At 46.3% G+C, this 24,720-nt stretch overlaps 2 pseudogenes across 1 annotated transcript, besides 2 other annotated features; both read left to right on the forward strand.

Annotated features, from left to right (window-relative positions):
- The first annotated feature begins 153 nt into the window (after nt 1-153).
- GOLGA8CP (golgin A8 family member C, pseudogene) lies at nt 154-13,508 on the forward strand (annotated as a pseudogene). The gene is made up of 18 exons (NR_027411.2): nt 154-325; nt 2,025-2,144; nt 2,730-2,789; nt 2,973-3,053; nt 3,909-4,268; nt 4,357-4,441; nt 4,537-4,646; nt 5,667-5,756; nt 5,863-5,970; nt 6,166-6,253; nt 6,623-6,879; nt 7,147-7,227; nt 8,584-8,659; nt 9,091-9,182; nt 9,751-9,851; nt 9,934-10,034; nt 10,124-10,276; nt 10,362-13,508. The product of NR_027411.2 is annotated as a golgin A8 family member C, pseudogene (transcript).
- Nucleotides 8,351-8,851: an enhancer, noted in NCBI's record as "H3K4me1 hESC enhancer chr15:20775869-20776369 (GRCh37/hg19 assembly coordinates)". NCBI's record gives its function as "activates a minimal SCP1, AML or CMV promoter by ChIP-STARR-seq in primed H9 embryonic stem cells {active_cell/tissue: H9 hESC(primed)}" and the evidence as "EXISTENCE:reporter gene assay evidence [ECO:0000049][PMID:30033119]".
- RN7SL759P (RNA, 7SL, cytoplasmic 759, pseudogene) lies at nt 8,691-8,980 on the forward strand (annotated as a pseudogene).
- Nucleotides 19,878-20,465: an enhancer, noted in NCBI's record as "H3K27ac-H3K4me1 hESC enhancer chr15:20787397-20787984 (GRCh37/hg19 assembly coordinates)". NCBI's record gives its function as "activates a minimal SCP1, AML or CMV promoter by ChIP-STARR-seq in primed H9 embryonic stem cells {active_cell/tissue: H9 hESC(primed)}" and the evidence as "EXISTENCE:reporter gene assay evidence [ECO:0000049][PMID:30033119]".

Genomic DNA, 24,720 nt, shown 5'->3' on the forward strand with positions numbered 1-24,720 from the left:
GTGGGGACAGTGGTTGCATGGGCAGCTTTCCTCGTGAGCCAAAGGTCCCTCTGGACACATGATGCCTGGCCACGCCCCCTTTCCCTTTCATCTTTCTCATTAACCAATGGTCTTGGAGCATTAAGGCCACGCCCCTATTCTGCCTTCTACTGCATCCCTGGTTACGCCTCCTCTGGCTCAGTCGCACAGCTACCTGGTAGGTGACTGGAGGTGTTGATCAGTGCTTGGTGGGATTTTGCTGATGTGGCCCCAAGCCCGCCTCCCTCCCCACCCTGCGATGGCAGAAGAAACTCGACAAAGTAAATTGGCAGCAGCCAAGAGAAAGGTAAAAACACACCAGGTCACGGACCCCCAACCCAGCCATAGATCCTCTCCAACGACAAGACTGCTGCCAGAGTCCATACCACTCCCGAGGTTCACCGGACTGGGACCCCCACACCGGTGCCTCTGGGCTACCCCCACCAAAGTTTTGCCAGTCAGCCCCACCCCTTCAGCAAGCAGCCCAGTCTCTGCCCTCACCAATCACCCCAGGGTGACTTTGGGCAGGTGAATCCTGGGGATCCCCGCTCCTTTACTGGGCCCTCATCTCCTGCCACCCCAAGCTTGACCTCCCAGGGCTTTTTGGGCTCACATCTCCAAGGACCTGGGTCCCACAGCCCCAGACCCCACCCTCACCAGTCATCCCTGGGTGACTTTAGGCTGGTGAATCCTGGGGCTCCCTGCTGCTGACTCTTCCCTTCCCTCCTGCTGCCTCAAGGTGGACCTCCCTAGGCTGTGTGCACTGGTGTCTCCAAGGACCTGGGTCCCAGCTCTGTTTTTCCCTCCCCTATCATGGAGCGATGACTCGGACATCATGCTGATGTGGTCCCTCCCCCTCACCAGGAAGAGTGGAATGTAGTGATGTCACGGTCCATCCAGTAACTGTCATTACTGCAAGACTGGCCTTTGATCTTATGACCCAGTCCCCTAAGCATTGCCACCCCATTTCTGGTTCCTCTTGTCACAGCACAAATTTCCAGCTGGAAGGGGAATGGAGATTGGGACCTAGGAGCAAGAGGTTTCAGGCTGCCTCACTCCCTTAACATAAACACTGACAGCGGGAAAAGCCTACACTTCCCCTGTGAGCTCAAAACATTGACAGTACCTCTGGATGGCAACTGGAGAATGGGTTTGACTTGGTTTGGTTTTCTCCCAGGCTTCTACTTTCCAGAGAGATTTTAACAAATTTTTTGTGAGTTCTCCACCTCACATTCTAATTCTCCATGGTTCTGGGACCAGACTGCCCTTCAGTCAGTGGTCTGTGAAGTGAGATTTGCTCATCTTCTGTGGAATAGATCTTGGGAAACTGAACTTGACAGCTTGAATCTTCCTCATATTATGTAAACCTGGGGTACTTTGAGTGCCACAGGATACATATGGGACATCTTTCTGAAGCATCAGTTTCCATTGATTCTCTTGAGATCAAGAGAAAAAACATTAATGTACTTAGGGATGACAGTCACATAGGTTTCTAAGAGTATACCAGACCTCTCTCTGAAATGAGGCTTGGGTTGTCCTCTTTCTGATAAATTCCCAGATTTAACAGAAAGGCTGCCTTCTGCCATGAGGATACATTGATATAAGAGTTTGAGAGGTACTGGTGCACTTCTTCACACTAACAGACGTGTGAGGATGTATGACTCTAAACCACATGGCATACAGTTCCTGCCTACTTAATGTTTACTTTTCTACCTCTGCCTCTGGTTTTGGTCCCTGGCAGCTGCTGATTCTTGGTAATACCCCAGAGTTTGGAGTCAGAAGACTGAGTTTCAAAGTTCGTCTGTCGCCTTTTTCTTTTCTTCTTTTTTTTTCTAGCCATGATATCAATCTCTTTGAGTCACTAAATGATTGTGACAACACCTTGTACAGTTGTTGGTGTCATTAAATCAGATGGTGTATAAGAGTATTTTATAAAAACTGTAAAGGAGGATGTGGCTGCAGGGGCTGATAGTTCTCATGAGTATTACTGCTCTTGTTTCTGACAGTTAAAAGAATATTGGCAGAGAAACAGCCCTGGTGTTCCAGCAGGAGCCAAGAGGAACAGGAAAACAAATGGCAGCATCCATGAGACAGCCACTTCTGGTGGTTGCCACTCACCTGGAGATGTGAGTCTTGGCTGACTAGGTTCCTGGGGACAGGGGACCCAAGGGGCACTAGAGGGTAATTGTTAAGATTGTGGATGGACTGTTGGGTACCTGTGAAGAATTCTGGGTTTGAATCCTGCCTCTTTGTCTGCTAGGGATATGAATTAGGGCAAGTTGCTTGACCTCATCGGGCCTCTCTTTTCACATCTGTATAATAGAGGTGGTATTGTTTCACTTCCATTTGTGAAGTTTAAATGAGATCTGTTATTGTTGTTTTTATGTTAATCCCTAGTACATGGCCTGCTGTAAACACCCAGAACACCCAGGATATGGTCATTGCTGTTCGATTTTCCTCATCCCCAGTCTCAAGGGGAAGCCAGGACAATGAGAACAGTCACTTGGCACAGGAGTCACTGAAAGGGCCGCAGGGTGCTGTGGTGGGGAGATAAGAACCATGAGAGAAGTTGGCACAAAGGAGTTATGGGACAAAGGGTCCAAGATAGGCAGAAAAGAAAATTGTGCCAGTTGATGGGGAAGAAAAGAAGTCAGAGGGCTTAGATACTGAGTGGGACAGAACATCTTCATGTGCACTCTCATCTCTTGTAGTCAGCAACAGGTATCCACGGGGAGAGCCCTACATCATCTGCTACCCTGAAGGATCTGGAGGTAAGAGGCTCTGGGCAGAGGTGCAGTGACCCTGCAGGGCAGCCCTCCAACCTCCTCCTCCAGGTGGGACGGGGTGCCCCTCTGCCAGCTGAGACAGTCCACACACACCCCAGCCCTAATGATTGCTCTCTCTACCTCTCCCCCCACTCCTCCTCCACCTCCTCCTCTCTGCATGCGCCTCAGAGCCCGTGCCAAGAACTAGCAGTAGTCCCAGACTCGAGGTCCGTAAAAGTCAGTCAACTGAAGAACACCATCAAATCTTTGGTAAGAGTCCACTGGGGTCCCCTGATTCCACGCTGCCAATCCTGGGCTCTAGTTTCTCCTTGGGGCCCTGAAGAAAGGGGACAGGGGCCCCTGGTGCCAAGGGCGAATAGGGAGCTGGGGCACCCAGGCCTCACCTGGAGGGACCCCGGAGCATGCAGCATGGCTCTTTTTTTGCTGCCCTGTTTGCTGACTCTCCCCTCTCCAGACGCCCCTGCTCGAGTCCTTGCTACACACGCCCTGGGATTGTTGCCTCTTGGGGAAGTGCTAGCCTGACTGGTTGTCAGGGGCCCTGTATTTCTGCCATGACTCAGTCCCTAATTTGCTCTTTGATTCTGGACAAGCCACCTCTCCTTTTTGGGCTCGTGTTTCCAGAGGAAGTAGTGAGTATCATAGGTCTCTGTTAGCTCTGAGAGTCTGAGATTTAAAGGCCTCCTAGAATGGAAACCTCAGGGCCAAAGGCTCCTGTCTGTCCTTTTCCGCCCTAAATCTGCTGTGAAGAACCGTACTTGGCCCGTACGTGCTCAGTAAATGTTTATTGAATGAATGCACTTTTCTAAATCACAAGCTGGCAGAAGGGGGGGCCTTTCTCAAACTCCATCTCTAGAGGTTTATGTTACTGTCCTGTCAAGAGATTCCAGATTCAGACCTTGAGTTCTGTGGCTGTGGACAAAAGCCAACAAAGACCCAAATCCTCTGTCCTTGGGAGCTTGAGGAGAGTTTACCAGTTCGTGTTCCCACTGGGTCTGAGAACTTTGCCTTTAAAATCCATTCCTGGTCCCTGCCTACCACTTCCTGCTCTGGGGAATAGAGTTGAGGGGGCCACCCTCCATCACCTTAATGTGACTCTCCCCACAGAAACAACAGAAGAAACAAGTGGAACATCAGCTGGAAGAAGTAACATGATTTCTTTGTTTGCTCGCGACATGACTGCTCGGTTTGGGGGACACTCAGATGTAGAGGCCCCGAGTCTCGTCTCACCCACTCCCAGCCTGGGGAAGAAGGCTCACCCCCCAGAGTCCACCCCATCCCCCACAGGGTCCCTGATAACCCGGTCCCATGGGTGGGCCTGTCCCGGGGCAGGGGCAGTGGTGGCATTCTGGGGACATGTCTCTTGCAGTACCATCTCTGCCTCCGCCTGGTTAGATCTCTGTCTTCCTCTTCCTACAGGAAAAGAAAGCAAACAACGAGAAACAGAAAGCTGAAAGGGGGCTAGAGGTGAGTGGACAGTGTGCAGTTTTCTCCTGTCCTCCGGAGAATGTTTCTTTCCTTCTCTTTCAGCACTTGCTTGGCTTTTCTCCCAAAGGTTCAAATCCAGAGATTGAACATACAGAAAGGGAAACTAAATACGGACCTGTACCACACGAAACGTTCTCTCAGATACTTTGAAGGTGGGAATCTGGGTACCCTGTCATCCTTCAACCTGGGACTTTGACAGGTCTTCAGGGGGAGTCCTTTGGGCCCCATCTCAACTCTCTCATTACAGAAGAGTCCAAGGATCTGGCCGTCCGTCTGCAACATTCATTGCAGCGTAAAGGAGAGTTAGAGCGGGCTCTCTCTGCTGTCACCGCCACACAGAAGAAGAAGGCGGAGAGGGTGAGTCCAACCACCTGCCGCGTCCCCTGGTAGCCTGGCTTCACAGACAGAGGAGTGAGCCTAAAGGTCCCTTCTGCAGGATGGAGTGTCCTGCCCAGAAGGCAGCATGGCCATTTCTCACTGCTTTTTTGTATGGTTGTTAGCGGCAGCTTGGGACTGAGTCAGCTGCTGTGGGTGAGTGGGGGGGCACTCTGGGGAGAGAGCACAGGACGTAGAGCTTGGAGGCCAAGTGCCTGCCATGCCTTTACCTGGCTGTGGTCTTGGCCAAGTCCTAAGTGGGGTATTGGGTACTTGTACTGTGAAGGTACAGAAGAGTACCTTTAGTATGTTACCATTTCTGTAGAGAGAGGAAACGTGTGTGTGTGTGTACATATTATGATAATATACATAAAATATGTTTGCAAGTGTTCATAAAAACTCAGGAGAGAGCAACAGGGTGGCTGGGAGATACTTCCCTTCTGTACCTTCTGAGTCTGGGACTATGTGAATGTATTATCCTTTCAAAAAGTGAACAAAAGATTAATTTTCCCCTTCCTAGCTGTGCCCCCACCCCCAGCAAGAAAAATGGGCTTAGAGAATTGGATAGATCTGGGTGTTTAAATCCCAGCTCTGCCTAAGTGATCTTAGGCAAGCACTTAACCTCAAATACTCCATGTTTTTTCATCTACACAATAGAGGTCATCATAGTAACTGTCTCCCATGGTGGTTGCGAGGATTAAATGGGATTGCTAGCATGGTATCTGGTGAAGCACTCCATAAAAGTTCAAACAGTGGTAATAATAACAGTAATAACAATAGCAATATTATCTGATCTCTCTGGGCCTCTGTTAGCCAGCTATAAATTCGATCTCTTTCCCTGTCCCTTCCAACTTTACTGAGTTCTTTAAAAACCAAACCACGGGCTTGGAAATGCCTTGATCTTTACTGACCGAGTTGTATATTGGGCCTAGCCCTGGCCCTTTTAAGGGGCACTGTGTGGAATGGCCCGGCCTCCCCAGATTGAAACTTCTCACTCTTCAGCAGTTCTCCAGCCGCAGTAAAGCACGTATGGAGTGGAAGTTAGAGCAGTCCATGCGGGAGCAGGCACTGCTGAAAGCGCAGCTGACACAGGTGAGGTGTTCAGAGGGAGGGATGTGGAAGGAAGATGACCCCAGGTAACCAGGAGCAGGTGAGGACCAGTGACAGCCCTTCCTAATTTCTGTGCCCATTCTTGCAGTTGAAGGAGTCACTTAAAGAAGTCCAGCTAGAGAGGGATGAATATGCTGAACATCTAAAAGGAGAGAGGGCCCGGTGGCAGCAGAGGATGAGAAAAATGTCGCAGGAGGTGAGATCTGACCCTTCAGCCCCCCCACATTAGATAGGTCACTGGATCTTTCTGGGCACCTGTAAAATGGGAATAGTAGAGCCAGAGGTGGTCCTGGGACTGGGCTTTGTGGAGGTGGGGGCAGAGAGGGAGATGGTAGCATGTCCAGCCTCCAGCCCCTCTCTCCAGGGCCCTTTCCCCCTGTGCTTTGGGCAGGTTTGCTCGTTGAAGAAGGAGAAGAAGCATGATAAATATCGGGTAGAGACGCTGGAGAGGAGCTTGTCCAAACTCAAACACCAGATGGGTAAGATGGGGCTGGCGTGACCTGGCAGCAGGACTGGCATCAGAGGGCTGTGAGGGTGGCTTGGAGTGCCCCAGCGAGGTGGGTGGATGGGAAGGGCTTTGAGGCAGAGGGAAAGAGGTCTGTGCCAGGAGACGGCAAGTCTTGTCATCTCAATGAGCCTCAGTGTCCCCATCAGCAAAGAGGGCCCGTTGTCAGCCACCCGCAGTGCTCTTTCTCTGAAAGTGGTTTGGAAGACTGGCTACCATCTGGGTGCGAGGAATCATTAGCAGTGAGGCCAAGTTTGAGGAGCCTGAGAGGAGCTGTGCGCCAAGAGGAGGGTTTTTCTTTTCCGAGAATCCAGAGGCCCTTATTATCTGCTTCCTTTCTCAGCTGAACCCTTGCCCCCGGAGCCCCCAGCAGTGCCCTCTGAGGTGGAGCTGCAGCACCTGAGGAAGGAACTAGAGAGAGTGGCAGGAGCGCTCCAGGCCCAGGTGGAGTACAATCAGCGCATAAGTCTCCTGAATGAGGGGCAAAAGGAGAGACTTCGGGAGCAGGAGGAGAGGCTTCAGGAGCAGCAGGAGAGGCTTCGGGAGCAGGAGGAGAGGCTTCAGCAGCTGGCCGAGCCACAGAACAGCTTCAAGGAGCTGGTGCGTTGCCCCAGCTGGGGAGCCTGCCCTCCTCCCTAGCCCTCCAGGCCTTTGTTTCCCCACCTATAAAATGTGGCAGTGTAGCCCTCAAGTGAAATGTTACTCCTAAAGGCACCTGTGAGCCAGAGCCCTGCTCTGGTGGCTGTGGGAGACAGGGGATGATTTTTCTAACCTGCCTCCACCCTTCCCGGTGCCATGGGAGGCAGTCACCAAGTTCTGGGGTCTCCAGCTGCAGTGGGTGGCTGCTGATTGCTTCTCTCTGTCCAGAACAATGAGAACAAGAGCGTACTACAGTTGGAGCAGCAAGTAAAGGAGCTGCAGGAGAAGCTAGGCAAGGTGAAGGAGACGGTAACCTCCACCCCATCCAAGAAGGTCTGGGAGGTGGGCACCAGCCTCTGGGGAGGGGAGGTGCCAGGCCAGAGGCAGCTCCAGCCCGGGGGCAGGTGACCCCAGCACCCTCCAGGGCAGTCCTGTGGCTGTTTCTTGCTTCCTGCCCTCTGATTTTAGAGGTGGGTAGCCCTGGGCTCCTCCCAGGTCTGGACATCATCATTCCAGCTAGAGACATGGAGCACCCCCAATCACAGGGGAAGAGACAGAGTGGTATAACAGTCTTCTTATGCCAGACGCGGTGGCTTACGCCTATAGTGCCAACACTTTGGGAGGCTGAGGCAGGAGAATCACTTGAGGTTTGGAGTTTGAGATCAGCCTGGCCAACATGGTAAAACCTCATCTCTACTAAAATTACAAAAACAAAAAACAAAAAAAGGAAGAAAAATTAGTGGGGCATGGTGGTGGCGCATGCCTGTAATCCCACCTACTCAGGAGGCTGAGGCACGAGAATTGCTTGAGCCCAGGAGGTGGAGGTTGCAGTGAGCTGAGATTGCACCACTGCACTCCGGCCTGGGCCACAGAGTGACACTCTGTCTCAAAACAAAACAAAAAGACTCCTTAGATTAAAACTGGATTCCAGCCTCAGTTCCACTGGTCACCATTCAAGTACTTCGCATCTCTAAGTCTCTGTTTCTTTAACTTCAAAAGGAAGTTAGCATTTTCCTTACAGAGGTGCTGAGGATTAAATGAGATAATACATGGGAAGCATTAGGCCTGTAGCACATTTAGCAGATGGTGGTTGGCTCCCACTACTTTTCTACCATTCTGTGGCCTACAGTTGAAATGGTGGGAAGAGGACATGAGATTTGAGGCTGGGGAAGGAGGCATGGGGTTCTAGGAAAGGGAGGCAGTCACTTAGGCCTGGAGTAAGGGGCCAGGGGCCTGGGCAGGCGACAGAGCCCCACAGTGCCCTCGCTACCCTATTAATGGGCCCAGAATCTGGAAACCAGCCACCACGTGCCCTCACACCCAGGGTCTTCCTGCAGGTGGAGCTGAAGAGCCAAGAGGCTCAGAGTCTGCAGCAGCAGCCAGACCATTACCTGGGTCACCTGCAGCAGTACGTGGCCACCTATCAGCAGCAGGTGGCCGCCTATCAGCAGCTGACCTGTGAGAAGGAGGCGCTGTACAGGCAGTGACTGCAGCAGACCCAGCTAATGAACCAGCTGCAGCAGCAGGAAGCTTGGGGCAAAGCGGTGGCCGAGATGGCCTGCCAAAAGTTGCAGGAGGCCCAGGGGAGGGAGCTGCCGAGGATGGGGCCGTGAGGGGGACGACCTGGCAAACTCTGTGCCTTCTCACTCTTTCCTGGCCCCTTAGGAGCGCCTGGAAGCTGCCAGCCAGCAGAAACAGCAGCTAACGGCCCAGTTGAGCCTCATGGCTCTCCCTGGGGAAGGTACGGGAGACCGCTCAGAGGAAGAGGAGAGAGCCCCAGGAGGAAGGGGGGACTGCTAGCAGCATAGGATTGAGGAGTTGGAAGAGACCTTTAGAACAGCTGGTCATTATACTAACCGGGTGCCTGCACTAAGTTCAGCATCAATATGGTGACCTCCTGGGAGCGGGGGGCCACCAAGTTGCCTAAGGATGGCTGAACTGGCCGAGGTCAGAAAGGGAGCAGGTCAGAACTCCCACACCGACCAGTAGTGGGAATGTGCCTGGGCAGTATAGCAAGATCTTGGTTCTTCAAAGTAAAAATAAATAACAGCAGCTCATTCCTCTCTGGGGAGGGCCTGGCTCAGGGTTACACAATGAGGGTGGAGGCAGAGGTGGGCCCACAATACTTCCCTTGTTGAGTTGTCTGAAGACCCCTCTGGCCACCCCCAACAGGACACGGAGGAGAACATCTGGACAGTGAGGGGGAGGAGGCACCTCGGCCCATGCCGAGTGTCCCAGAGGACCTGGAGAGCAGGGAGGCCATGGTGAGCCTGACTCCCCCTGCACCCATTTTGCCACCTTTCTCTGTGGTCCCTCCAAGACCCCTTTATGCTCTTCGTTTCCCTGCCTTCTGATTTCTCTGGACCCTCACCCCTTCCGAGAGCCAGTGGTCAGACACCATTTCACCTGTGGCCAACAGGTGCACTCTCTGAGGCCCCAAGGGAAGGGGCTGCGCTCCACCTCTCTGCCCCATTTCTTCTGTGTATGCCCCTAGAAGAATGCTCACATCTTGCCCTCAGGTGGCATTTTTCAAGTCCGCTGGAGCTAGTGCCCAGGAGAAGCAGGCACAGTTACAAGAGCAGGTGAAAGAGCAGAGGGTGTGCTGCCAGCGCCTGGCTCACCCGGTGGCCTCGGCCCAGAAGGAGCCAGAGGCAGCGGTCCCAGCCCCAGGGCCTGGGGGCGAGTCTGTGAGTGGGGAGACCCACCGGGCCCTGCAGGAAGTCATGGAGAAGCTGGCCCATGCCGGAACTCACCTCCGCCTTCTCCATGACTTGAAAATGCCACCTGAGGGCAGGTCGCTGCCGAGATGTGACCCCATTATTTTGGCTCCAGAGCGGCTTTATGGACCACCTGGAGGAGAAGGCAGACCTGAGTGAGCTGGTGGAGAAAGAAGAACTTGGATTCTTCCAGTACTACAGAGAGAGATGCCATCAGTGAGTGGGAGGCCAGGGCATGGCAGGGGGAGCTGCAGGGCTGTTGGAGGGGCCCCAGCGTCTGAGCCCTGTCCTCCCGCAGGAAAGTTTATCACCCTATAACAAAGCCAGGGGGCAGTGCCAAAGATGCAGCACCGGGAGGAGGACACCATCAGGCTGGCCCTGGACAGGGAGGAGATGAAGGTAGAGTGTGCAACATCTCTGCGGGGGTGGGGGTGGCTGTGACGGTGAGCGCTGGCAGCAGCGTGACAGCTGAGCACCCCTCCCTCCAGGTGAAGCTGCTGGAGCTGCAGGAGATGGTGTTGCAGCTGGTGGCGACTACAAGGGACACAGCAAATTCTTGGTGACTGCCCAGAACCCTGCTCATGAGCCCAGTCCAGGAGCCCCAGCCCCCCAGGAGCTTGGGGCTGCCCACAAGCATGGTGGTGAGTAGAGCCCTCAGGCGGGGTGGGCAGGCAGGAGCAGGGGGGCTCTCACTGAGCTCAGATCCCCACCTCCCTCTCTCCAAAGATCTTTGTGAGGTGAGCCTCACTGACAGCGTGGAGCCTGTGCAAGGAGAGGCCAGGGAGGGTTCTCCCCACGACAAGCCTACTGCACAGCCGATCGTGCAGGACCACCAGGAGCACCCAGGCTTGGGCAGCAACTGCTGTGTGCCATTCTTTTGCTGGGCTTGGCCGCCAAGAAGAAGGAGATAAACATGACCATCGTCAAAGAGCTGCTCAAGAAATTTTTAAAAAAGAAACAAAGTTATGGGGTTAATCTCCTACACAATTCATTTACTTCGTTTGAATGTTATAGCCACTTATGATTATTTGTGTTTCTAATTTATAGTTTAAGTTTATTTGTAAATAGTTAAAAGAGAGTGGGTCTCTGTGGCTTTCACTGATGTTCACTCTGGCATACTTTCGCAATTTTCTTTTTCAATTTCATGATTGTAGGTTATTAGCATGCATATTGAGTTTGCCCTTACGTGGTGGGAGTTCAAACACACAAAGACCCACTATTTGCACAAAACTATTCTTGCTGGTTTGGAATAGGCTGCCATGTGTTTTTAATGTTATTGCAGCATGTATATTCATTACAGAATTCAGATAAAATTTGCCTATGTTCTGCTATTGTTTGATCTAATCTTAATCACAGTGAGCTCTTCATTAGCACAATATGTGGTTTGCCCCAAGTGTGCACTATTTAATACTTTGTAATATGCCACCAAGAGTACTGACATTTAGAGTTGTTTAAAGGCCGAGAACTGGAAACAGCCTTTCCCTCATTTTCTGTGTATTGGTGATGGGAGTAATAACATTTTGGGGGAGCTTTTTAAATTTCACAGAAGAGGAAAGTTGCCTGCTCTGGCAGGTATGTGCAAGATAGAGTGTGTTTCATTTGTTCTGTTGCCAAGAATTAGTGCTGTACTATTGTAGTTCCTTTAGGATTTGTATGTGCTCTGGGCTCATGAAGATATTGCATCATGAGCTGCAGCAGTTGTACTCTTTTTTGATGACCTAAAAAGGGCTTATTTCTGAGGAATGAAAGGTTCCCATCATTGACTATGGATGTGGAAAACCTTTCCTAGCTTAGAGCATTTGTATCTATATTTTAAAGTCAGAGTTCATGTTACCTGTTTTAATCACATGACTGCATGTCCCAGTACACAAAAGGGCACTGGTTGGCATTCTTCTTAATGTATTTAGTAAAGATCAGAAGAAATCCTTTAAGAGTTTAAATGTCCCTGGAACACGCATACAGGCTCTAGTCAAGAATGAATTAGAGTGAAGGAAAGCTGTGTGACACCTGGCATTCCTCTGTTCATGGAGCTTCTTTGAGGCTTGAAGATTGATTTTACCATCTAGACCACTCTGCCTATTCTTCAACCACCTTGGTTACTTTGACATAGGAATTGACTTCTTTTCCTTGAATGGAAAACACTTTGAAATAATAATAAACATTGTTATAAACTAATATATGTGAGAGTGCTTAGTTGAAACAAAAAGGAGTTTTAGTAGACAGTATTATACTATCTTTGAAAATCAAGGAGAAGTTTATGCAACTTAAAATGTGTACAAACTGCAGTGCAATCTACTGTTGGTGAATGTCAGTGTATTATCAGGAAACATGTCTATACAATCACAGAGTTATATTTCCTCACAAACTTCTTTGTGAAGAGTGAAATGTGTTTCTGTACCTCTGGGTTTCACTTACGGGCATATTTTGTGCAGTAGTTATGTGATTGTGCCTATGCATGATGAATGAATGAATTTCAGTTGTACATTGCCTAAATCATAACTTGATGATGCTTGGGAAAGACTCAACAGTTAAAACTTCATGAAGTTCTAATGTCTGTGTTCCAAAACACATCACATTATTAGGATGTAGGGAGATATGTATGTGTGCTCCCTGGGGTGGGGATTTCTAGTTACTAGACCATCTCCATTTTTAGCATTTGGCATCCTCATGATACTTTTATAAATACGACATTAACAGGAGAGCAGCAGTACGATTTTGCCGATGGAATAACAGATTTGCCGGCAATCACTGAAAGAGTGCAAATATCGGGTCCTTGTGACTTCAACGGACTCTTCCAAATTGTATGAATGTATCAATGTATTAGATAAACCCAGTTTCAGAATGATAAAGAAAAAATGTTAGACCAAATAATGCGGCTAGTTAACAGTGGTACGATTTCTAGCCCGTGGCTTTAAAATGCACTTAAAGTCCTGTCCTTGCCTTTTATTTTCTGAACTTGATGTTTTTGCATTCTTTGAGTTCAGTTTAAAGACAACTACGAGCATCTGTAACCAATCTGACAATAATGTGTTCATCAGGTGCCTATGGATTAAATCACATACTGGCATATTTAAGCTGAATGTCAATCTGGAAAATAAATTGACTGTATTAACAGAAATACCACTCTTTGTGTAGATATTTGTCGTATATTTAAGAAAAAGCTAAAAAGAATGGAAATCGCATGACTATAACTTAAGTCTTTCTTCAAAGTGCATGCAGTCTTTTGCGATACCTCATTCAGCCAAGTATTGGTATTCTTCCTCATTCGGTATAAGGCAGCTTTCAATTTGCTTAGAAGGCAACATTGGAAGGTTAGAGTTCATCAGAAACAGAATTCTAAAATGTGAGTTCAATTCAATAAATTTGAATTTCTGTAGGAAGAATCAAATCACCGATTTAAAGAGTGCAATATATAATAATCATTTTTAAAGTATTGGATTAAATCTGATAGGTTTTCCAGAAATGAACAAAAATCAGCTCTAAAACCAAAGCTGATTTTTAGAAAATTTGAAAATGTAAATCAGCCCTATCCATACTATAGTTTCTCTAAAACTTTATCTGAAAGAGTCATTTTAAAATAACTATTAAACAATGTAACTGCTATCTTAATGTTCTGAAATAAGTTAAAACATTTTAAAATATGAATACTGTAAAGGAAATAAATGGTGGGAAGGAAAAGTAGAGAAAGAAATGCCAATTCCAGTCCAAAGCTTTATTTGCCAAGTTTTCTTAGAATGAATTTTACCAATTTATGAATTCTTGTAAGCGGAATGTAAAACGGAAATACTGAAAGACTTTTGCCTAAAGTGGCATTATTGACTGCTGGTGTGATGATACTGTAATGTAATAAATTATTAAGTTGTTGCAAAGTGCTGTTTTTGCCTTAAAATTTTATTCTGTGTGTCTTGAAAAATATAGTATTAAAGGTATTGATACTGTGCAAATGCTGAGCATGCTTGGCATGAGATAATGTTTCATTTTTACAAAATTGTAATATAACTATGCAAGGGTTTATTAAAAGAACACAAAATAAAAAAGTTATGGGATTAACAAAAGTTATGGGGTGAAAAAGTTATGGGATAAAAAATGTAAAAAAGTTGTGGCAAAAAAATCTTGTGACCAAAAAGTAGAAGAAAGTTTTATGAAAAGTTACCAAAAAAAGTTATGAAAAAGAAGTTATGGGATTAAAAAAAAAAGGCATGGGATAAAAATAAAAATTAAAATTAAAAGCAGGCCCCTGTCAGCAAAGCCTGGAGAAGTGGGGCTGGGGTCTCTCCACCACCACACTGTCCCTATCTCCCCTTCCCAGTCACCCCTTTACAATTAGGGTAGCAAGACAAGACCACTGTCTAACGAGGAAAGACAAACAGACCCTTTGCCACCTTGACCAGAGCTGAGTCCTTAAATTTCTGGATGATATTGTTATTTAAGAGCCAGAGGCTGGTGGAGTTGGTTTGTTTGGAGGAGGCCTCATGGCCTCCTTACTCTCACCATAGCAACTTTTCCCTCAGTGGGGGCTCGAATCTTCTTATTCAGAGAGGTAGCTGAGGCAGGACAGTGGGGCTAACTGTGGACCAGGTGAAGGCATGGGCTGCTGGGGTGGCCCCCCTTCCCCGGTGTATATATTGTGTCTGTGTAAGGTTTTGTATATTCCAGAGGGTAGGGCCACCCCTGTATCATACCTAGCGGTGGTTGGAGGTGGCACATGGGGAGGAGGTTCTAATAATTATTTGTGGCTGGGAAACTTACTTATTGCTAGCATAGGACAGAGGAAGAAGGCAGGGATGGGGTCATGGCTTCCCAGTGGTGTGATCACAGTTCACTGCAACCTCCAACTCTCATGCTCAAGTGATCCTCCCACCTCAGCCTCCCAGGTAGCTGGGAGTATAAGCATGCACTACTATGCCTGGCTAATTTTTAAATTTTTTGTAGAGAAAAGGTCTTGCTATGTTGCCCATGCTGGTCTTGAACTCCTGGGCTCAAGCGATTCTCCCATCTTGGCCTCCCAAAGCACTGGGGTTACAGGCATGAGACATTGCTCCTGTCCATAAGATTTTCTCTTTATTACTGTTTTGTTGTTGGTGGTGGTGTTTTGTTTTGTTTTTATTTTTTGACAGAGTCTCGGTCTGTTGCCTAAGCTGGAGTGCAGTGGTGCAATCTCTGCTCACTGCAACCTCCGCCTCCTGGTTCAAGCAATTCTTATGCCTCAGCCTCCCGAGTACCTGGGGTTATAGGCATAAGCCACTGCGCCTGGCTAATTTTTGGATTTTTAGTAGAGACAGAGTTTTGCCATGTTGGCCAGATTGGTCTTGAACTCCTGGCCTTAAGCAATCCGCCCTCCTCAGCCTCCCAAAGTGCTGGGATTACAGGTGTGAGCCACTGCTCCTGGCTAAGATCCCATCTCTATTTAAATAAAAAAAGAAAATTCAGAATCTATGGAACACAGAACACCAAAGGCCAGTTATTTACCTCTCTGAGGTAATCTGTGTAAACAATTTGATATATATCCTTTCAAGTTCATACTTGCTATGCATACATATATATACACACATACATTGACATATTCCCCCTTCCCTGCTGTCTTGCTATTAGTCTTCTTTTTTTTGTAGAAATTGGACCAACTCTATGTTCTTTGCTGGCCCGTATTTCTCCTATTCAGTGATGTGTTATGAATATCTGTTTAAGTCAATGTATGCAACTCTTTAATATCATTTTAAAAGGTTACGACATAGGATCATATGAAAGCATTAGAATTTATTCCAACAGTTCCCTTTTGCACATTTAATAATTTCCATTGATTTGCCAGGAAGAACATTCTCGTGTCATGGCTAAATCCTTTTGTATGGACATCCTTAATTATTCCCTTAAGATAAACTTTTAAATAAAGTTGCTAGATTAGTCTCGTTTCTTAAGTTCCTTTTTGGTAGTTTATATGTAACACTGTAGTTTTATATGTACTTACAAATACCTATAGTGCCAGTAGAAAATGGGATAAAATTAAACTCTTTCACATATGCCAAATATATTTTGATTTAGCGCTTTATTAAGTGCATGATTACAGTCTCTGTATCTTTTGATTTACCTTTCTATCTTTACAATTTTCAGCCGAGACACTTAGCGGTCACACAATAAATTAAGGTTTTCTTTTTTTAATAATCTCCATCTTTCTAAATATGGTGAGTCACAGTCAGCTATTTTTGGATTGTTGAAAGCTGTGACTGTTCTAAATCGGAGCCCAGAAATCATGCCACTTACCAAATATGCTTTGTCTTCCAACATCAGAGTGTCTGGTAGAAGGTGACTGTTCTTGGAATTTAAAAAATCTGAACAGGACAAGACAAGAATCTGGACACTTTTTCTGTTTCTGATAATATGATTGAGTAGGTAGACATGCTGGATAATCCTTGCAAAGACATACTTGAACTTCCCCAAAAAAAAAAATAAAATCCAGAATCTCTAAGAATGAAGATGGAGTGAAAATCAGAAGGGCTGCTGAGAGAATAATGGGGAAGCAGCCCCAGTTATCAAGGGACATGTCCATGTGTTCAATAGAAAGTTTCAGATGTAAAAAAAAGTTGAGAAAAATAATATATATATTATATATAATAAATGATATAATTGCCCTACATATACACATCATCAACAATTTTTCATTCATGGTATGGACAGTTTTTTTTTTTTGGTTGTTTTTTGTTTGTTTGTTTGTTTTTAAAGGTGGGATTTTGCTGTGGTTGCCCAGGCTGGAGTGCAGTGGCATGATCTTGGCTCACTGCAACTTCCACCTCCCAGGTTCAAGCGATTCTCCTGCCTCAGCTTCCCGAGTAGCTGGGATTACAGGCACCCGGCACCACATCCGGCTAATTGTTGTATTTTTAGTAGAGATGGTGTTTCACCACGTTGGCCAGGCTGGTCTTGAACTCCTGACCTCAGGTGATCCACCTGCCTCGGTCTCCCAAAGTGCTGAGACTACAGGCGTGAGCCACCACACCTGGCCACAGCCAGTTTTGTTTCATTTATATTCCCACTTCATTTATATACATTCCTTCTTCCTCTGAATTATTTTGAAGTAAAACCTATACATCCTATCATTTTTAATTACCTTATATGTATCTGTAGAAGACAAGGAATTCTTAAAAATAAATATATTCACAATGCCATTAAATATCAAAAAATTAATATTCTGAAAATAGCCACAAATCCAGAGTTGACATTTTGTTGACTTTCTCATAGGTGATTTTTTTTCTAGTTTATCTATTTCAATCAGATAACTGTTTGCTCATATTTACATTCCTTACTGAACAATGTCTAAACTTAAACTGACATAAAATGGAGATGATCTTCTAACCAGATGCTTAGTGTAAGAAAAAACTTCAAACTGCAAGAGGAGTCCCTCCAAATACAGAAAGGATCAGTATTTTAAGAGGTATGTTAACTAAAATGTGGCAATGTAAGGAGCAAAGCAGGAAGAACCTTTAAGTCCTCAACTTACAAGTCAATTTCCTAGTCAGTTTCCCTGGTCCTTCCACAACAACCTCCCCCATCTGTTTTCTCTACAATGGAGGTAACAATAGTAGCTATTCCAGAGCAGGAAAAGGCTTAGAGCAGTGCTAGAAGAGGGTCGTGGCTATATAAAGTTTAGCTATTTGTATATTGTAACAAACCTACAACTTTTTTTTTTTTGTCAATAATACATTTCTTTTGGAAAAGTGGCACCCTCCTGTGGGGGACACCTGCAGTTCCACTAAGCGAACATCGGTGTCTGCTAACCTTTGCCTCTTTGTCTCTCAATAATATACTGTCAAGCTGTTCCTTGATTTAGCACTTTTGTATACTTTTTTTTTTCCTCTCCCGTTTCCTGAGACACAGTCCCTCTCTGTTGCTCTGTCTGGACTGCAGCAGCGCCATCATGGCTCACTGCCACCTCCACCCCCGGGCTCAAGCAATCCTCCTAGGTCAGCCTTGGGAGCAGCTGGGACTACCTGTGGGGCGGCTAATCTTTGTGGTTTTTGTTTTGTTTTTCCGTTATGGGACCGGGTTTCGGGCCAGGCGCAGTGACTCACGCCTGCAATCCCAGCACCCCGGGAGGCCGAGGCCGGCGGATTACCTGAGGGAGGAGCTCCAGACCACCCCGACCAACATGGAGAAACCCTGTCTCTACCAAAAAAAATAAAAACTAAACAACTAATGGGGTATGGTGGCACATGCCTGCAATCCCAGCCACTCAGGAGGCACCATTTATTAATCTTTTTGACATCAGATGCTCAGTGGCTCACACCTGTAATCCCAGCACTTTGGGAGGCCAAGGCAGGTGAATCGCTTGAGCCGAGGAGTTCAAGACCAGCCTGGCCAACGAGGTGAAACCACGTCTCTGTTGAAAATACAAAAATTAGCCGGGCATGGTGGCACACACCTGTAATCCCAGCTACTCAGGAGGCTGAGACAGGAGAATCGCTTGAACCCAGGAGGTGGAGGTTGCAGTGAGCCGAGATCACAGCATTCCACTCCAGCCTGGACAACAGAGTGAGACTCTGTCTCAAAATTAAAAAAAAAAAAAAAAATTAACCAGCCATGGTACCACACACCTGTAGTCCCAGCTACTCTGGGGCTGGTGGGGGAGGACTATTTGAGCCCAGGAGGTCGAGGCTTTAGTGAGTTTGATCATGCCACTACACTCTAGCCTGGGCGGCAGAGTGAGTTCTTGTCTCAAAACAAAACAAAAATAGTTTCCAGCCAGGCGCGGTGGTTCACGCCTGAAATCTCAACACTTTGGGAGTCCAAGGTGGCGCATCATCTGAGGTCAGGAGTTCCAGACCAGCCTGGCCAACGTGGTGAAACCCCATCTCTACTAAAAATACAAAAATTAGCTGGGCATGGTGGCTCATGCCTGTAATCCCAGCTACTCAGGAGGCTGAGACAGGAGAACCGCTTGAACCCAGGAGGCGGAGGTTGCAGTGAGCCAAGATCGCACCATTGCATTGCAGCCTGGGGCAACACAGTGAGACTCTGTCTCAAAAAAGAAAAAAAAAAAGCTAGGCGTGAGAAGTGCCTTGATTTTGTATTTTCAATCTGCCAATACTTGCACAGGCTCTGGCTGCAAAACTTTTGCCGGTCAAACATTCGCATTTGAGAAACCACGTCCCTGCTGAGAGAGAGATCTAGACACAGCCTTAACTACATCATCAGTAGACACATGACTGGTTTTTTTTTGTTTGTTTGTTTGTTTGTTTGTTTGTTTTGAGACGGAGTCTCGCTCTGTCGCCCAGGCTGGAGTGCAGTGGCGTGATCTCAGCTCACTGCAACCTCCACCTCCTGGATTCACGCCATTCTCCTGCCTCAGCCTCCCGAGTAGCTGGGACTACAGGCGCCCGCCACCACGGCCGGCTAATTTTTTGTATTTTTTAGCAGAGACGGAGTTTCACCGTATTAGCCAGGATGGTCTGGATCTCCTGACCTCGTGATCCGCCTGCCTCGGCCTCCCAGAGTGCTGGGATTACAGGCGTGAGCCACCGCGCCCAGCGACATATGACTGTTTTTAACCAGAGGGAGGAAAATGGCTTTCAGATGGTTGTGTAGCTGGTTTTAACAGCCTTCAGCAGCAACACTGGCAGCCTCCGACCTCTCAGACCGAGTAAGCCAAGCGAAGCCTGTATGCGCACGCTTGCAGCTCAGCGCCCGCGGGGACTCCGGAAGCCTCTCCCAAGTGGCGCGGTCCGCAAGGGGCGGCTACAGCTTGGGCGCAGGCGCCGCTGGCTCACCGGTTCTCTTGGGCTCCCCTGGGACGCCGTAGGATCGCAGGCGCGCAGCCCTCCCGGCCGCTCTGGCCGCCCTGCTCCTCCTTTGAAGAAAGATAGGGCCGCTGGCAGGGGCCCTCCGCAGCCACCGGGGATGGGGCTGAGGCCAGTTTTTGTTTTTAGTGCAGCCGCCGCCAGGCCGACCGCCGGGCTTGGCTGCAGCCACGGCGACACTGGCCCGAGTTCTGCGAGGCTGGGGGTGCTGGCGGGCTTGGAGGTTGCCTGGCAGCTGCTGCCTGCAAAAAGAAAAACAAACAAAAAAGCAGCTGCAGCTTGGGCGCCCAGGGCTAGCGGGGCATGGCCTGGGCAGTCTTGGGATTGCGAGCGCGCGCGGCCTGAGAGTCCGTACCCTTCGCCGTGCCTCCTGCCCTCCTCCTCTGCCGGACCTCAGAACTGCTGGCCAGGCCGTCCGAGGGAGTCCGGACCCCACTCCGCAGCCTACAGAGATGGGGTTGAGCGGCAGGTTCTCAGTTCTCGCCCCTCTGCAGCCGCCGCCGGGCAGACCGCCTGGCTTGGCCGCAGCCACGGTGACATTTGGCCCTGGTTCTGCGATGCTGGGAGCGCGAGCGAGCTTGGGAGTTGCCAGGCAGCTACTGCTTGCAGGCGGAGGGCGGCTACAGCTTGGGTGTCCAGGCAGTGGAACATGGCCTGGGCGGCCTCTGGATCGCGAGTACACCGAGCCTGAGAGCCCGCCAGGCCCTGCCCCCGCCTCTGCCAGAGCTCAGGACCGCTGGCCAGGGGCCCTCCGCAGCCACCGGGGATGGGATTAAGTGGCAGGTTCTCGGCCCTGTGTAGCCGCCATCGGGCAGACCATCTGGCTTGGCTCTAGCCACCGGGACATCTGTCCCCGGTTCTGAGATGTTACGAGTGCAGGCGGGCTTAGAGGTTCCCCAGAGGCTGCTGCCTGCACACAGAGGGTGGCTGCAGCTTGGGTGCCCAGGCGGGCTGGAGGGGCCTGGCCCGGGAGGCCTGCGGATCGCCAGGGCGCCCAGGCTGAGAAGCCCCAAGCCGCGCATCCCGCCCGGCTCTTCCACCACAGGGAGACAGGAGCTGCTGGCATGGGGACTCCGCAGTCACCTGTGATGGCTTTGAGCGGCAGGTTCTCAGTTCTCACTCCTGTGCAGCCGCCGGGACATCTGACCCCGGTTCTGCGACGCTGGCAGCGCGACCGGGCTCGGGAGTTGACAGGCGGCTGCTACCTGCACACACAGGGCAGAGGGCAGCTGCACCTTGGCCTGGGCAGCCTCCGAAATGCGTGCGTGCCAGGCCTGAGGGCCCCCCTGGTGGTGCCACCCGCCCCGCTCCTCCTCTGCCGGAGCCTGGAGCAGCTGGAATGGCCACTCTGCAGTCACTAGGGTTATGGTTAAGTATTCTTATCCCATGCATGCACACAAAAAAGGTAACTATTATGCGAGGTAATTAATATGTTAATTGACTTCATTTTGGTAATCATTTCAAAATGCGCATGTAGATAGAAACATCACATTGTAAACTTTGAATATGTACAATATTTATTTCTCAAATATACCTCAGTAAAGCTGAAAAAAAATGAACAGGATTGAAAGGATAAGCACACAGTTCTATAATAGTAGTTGGACACTTCAATACCTCATTTTAATTAATGGATAGAAAAACCAGACAGAAGCTTCATGAGAAATAGAAGACTTGAACAACAGTATAAGCCATTTAGAGCTAATACACATATACAGAACAGTCCACCCAAAAACAGCAGAATATACATTCCTTTTAAGTGGATATGGAACTTTCTCTAGGATAGGTCATATCTTCGTCCACAAAAATATGTCCTAATCATTTACAAAAGTTTTAAATCATACAAAATATAATTTACAACCACAATGGAGGAAACATAAATAAAAAATGAAACCTGAAAAATTCACAAATATGTAGAAATTAAACAATACACTCTTAAACTACCAGTGAAAGAATAAATCATAAGTGAAATTATAAAGTATCTTAAGACAAATAAAAACAAAACATACCAAAACTTAGTGACTGCAGTGAAAGTAGAGTTTGAAGGAAAATGTATGGACATAAACAACTACATTTAAAAAAAGCTCAAATCAGTAACCTCACTCTACACCTAAAAGGCAGTATAAAAACCAGAGAAAACTAAATCTGAAGCTAGCAGAAGTAAAGAAATAATAAAGATTAGAGCATAAATCAATAAAATAGAAGGTTGGAAAGCAGTAGAAGAAATAAACGTAGCTAAAAGTTGGTTCTTTGAAAAGAGTAATCTCACCTCAGTAGCCTAAGATTCTTCTTTAGGAACGTAGAGAAAGAACAACAACTTAAATCTAAGGAACTAAAGAAAGGAGCTAATAACAATTAGGGCAGAAATAAGTGAAATTCAAAACCAAAGAGAGAAAAAGGGAAAGAGAAGAGAGACTACAGATTACTAACAGCAGGACTGAAAGACAAGCTATCAATACACACTATACCATAAATAAGTAAAGCTAAAAATAATTTTATGCACACAAATCTAATAGATGAGATGAAAAAAATAAATTCCTCTAGAGACACAACACATACTACCAAGTCTCACTGAAGAAGAAACAGGTAACAAATAGTCCTGTATTAATTAAGAAATTGCATTTGTAAATAAAACCTACCAAAAAATCTAGTCACATGTTCTTTCACTACTGATTTCTATCAAATATTTGAAGGATAAATAATTTTGACTGTACACAATCTTTTAGAGAAAATAGATGAGATGGGAGCACTCCCAACTCATTTTATAAGGCCAGCATTACAATAACACCAAAACCAAAAAATGATATGGAGAGAAAAGAAGACTATAGACAAATATCAGTCATGGACATATATGAAAAAATATCAACAAAATATTGTGACATCAAATTGAACATCTCCCCATGTAGGATGATTCATTATGTCCAATAAAAACAAGGCTGATTCACTATTAAAATCCAATCCAAGTAATCTGCTATAGAATATTTTTAAAATATTCTTCTCAAGAGATGCAGGAAGAGCATTCGATGAAATCCAACATCTATTTCTGACCAAAACTCATACAATTAGGAATAAAAGAACTTAGGATATATGTTTATATCTGTATACTATATGGTGATGACTGAATGATTTTTCCTTAAGACTGGGGACAGGTCCTATTCAATATTGTATTAGAAAATTTGCAAAGTGCAATAAGACAGGAATAAGAAATAAATAACATACATATTGCAAAGGAAGAAGTAAAACTGCCTCTATTTGCTGATAAAACTAATCTTTATATACACAGTCTACAGTATTTATGAAAAGCTTCTAAAACAAATACGTGAAATTAAGTGTTTTATTATCAAAGGTCAATATAGAATGTCAATAATTTTCCTATGTGTGAGTAATTAACAGTTGAAAAAATTAAATTACTATTTAAAATAGAAGCAAAAATTAAGTGCTTAGGTATTAATGTAACAATAGAAGTGCAGGATCTGTATGCTGAAAACTACAAAATATAAATGCAATAAATAGAAAATTTAAAAAGAGGGGAATGAAATATTTATGAATTCAGAGTCTCAATATAGTTAAGATGCCAGTCTTTTCCATTTCTGCTTGTAGAGTTCCTTCATTAACAATGAAAATTCCTGTAAGTTTTTTTTTTTTTGTAGATATCACCAAGGAGATTCTAAAATTTACATGGAAAACAAAATAACTAGAATTGTCAAAACACTTCTGAAAAAAAGTTAGAGGACATAAACTACTGATTACAAGGCTTACTATTATGCTACAGTTCTCAAAATATTGTGGTTTTGTTAAAATATTGTTAAAACACTAGATACGTAGACCAATGGAATGAATACAGACCCCAGAAATAGACCCACACAAATATATTCAACTGCATTTTGAAAAAGATGCAGAGGAAAAGGGGAAAGTATAATCTATTCTGTAAATGGGGATGTAATAATGGGATCTCCCCATGTAAAAAAAAAATGAAACTTAATGCATATTTTACACCTTTTACAAAAGTGGACTGAAATAGACCATATAAAAGTGTAAAGTATACAGCAATAAAATACTATCATAAAACAGGGGAAATTAGGTATGACTTTGGGGTCATTGATGAGTTTTTAGATAAAACACCATACACATGATCCATAAAAGAAAAAATGAAAAAGCAGACTTTGTTATATCTAAAAATGCTCATTCTGTGAAAGAAGCATTACAAGAGCAAAAAGCTAAAACAATCAGGGAAAAATATTAAGTCACTGTATTAGTCTGTTCTGCTGCTGCTATAAAGAACTGCCTGAGGCTGGGTAATTTACCAGGAAAGAGGTTTAATTGACTCACAGTTCCATGAGGCTGGCAAAGCCTCAGGAAACTTACAATCATGGCAGAAGGCAAACAAACATGTTGTTCTTCACATGGTGGCAGGAGAGAGAAGTGCTTAGCAAAGGAAGAAAAGCCCTATATAAAACCATCAGATTTTATGAGAACTCACTCACTATCTGAGAACAGCAGCATGGGGGTAACCTGCCTCCATGATTCTACTACCTTCTGCCAGGTCCCTCCCACAACACATAGGGATTATGAGAACTACAATTCAAAATGAGATTTGGGTGGGGACACAGTCAGACCATATCAGTCACGTATCTTATACAAGCTTTTATCCAAAATGAATAAAGAACCCTTAAAACTCAACAATACAAAACAAACAATCCAATTTAAAACAAGCAAAAATCTTGAGCACGTACATCTCAAAAGAAGACAGACATATGGCAAATAAGCATATGAAAACATGTTTATTGTTATTAATAAGGGAATGCAAAACATAACTACAATGGGATACTACTACATGCCATTAGAATAGAAATAAAAAATTAAAATATCAAATGCTCCTGAAGATGTGTAGCAACAAAGATTCTCTTTCATTACTGTTGGGAATGTAAAATGACATGGTCACTTTAGGAGATAATTTGGCAGCTTTTTATAAAGTAAAACATATGTCCAGTGTGAGGTTCAGCCATTCCACTCCTATGTATTTATCAATGTGTAATGAAAACAAATTCACATAAAAGCCCGTAGTCTAGGCAAATGTTTTAGCAGCTTTACTCATAATCTCCAAAACCTGGAAACAACCAAGACATCTTTCTTTTTTTTTTTTTCTTTTTTGAGACGGAGTCTCGCACTGTCACCCAGGCTGGAGTGCAATGTCACGATCTTGGCTCACTGCAACCTCCGCCTCCCAGGTTCAAGGAATTCTTCTGCCTCAGCTTCCCAAGTAGCTGGGAATACAGGCACCCACCACCATGCCTGGCTAATTT

Source organism: Homo sapiens, chromosome 15 (genome assembly GCF_000001405.40).
Source record: "Homo sapiens chromosome 15, GRCh38.p14 Primary Assembly".
In the NCBI taxonomy this organism is placed as follows: domain Eukaryota; kingdom Metazoa; phylum Chordata; class Mammalia; order Primates; family Hominidae; genus Homo; species Homo sapiens.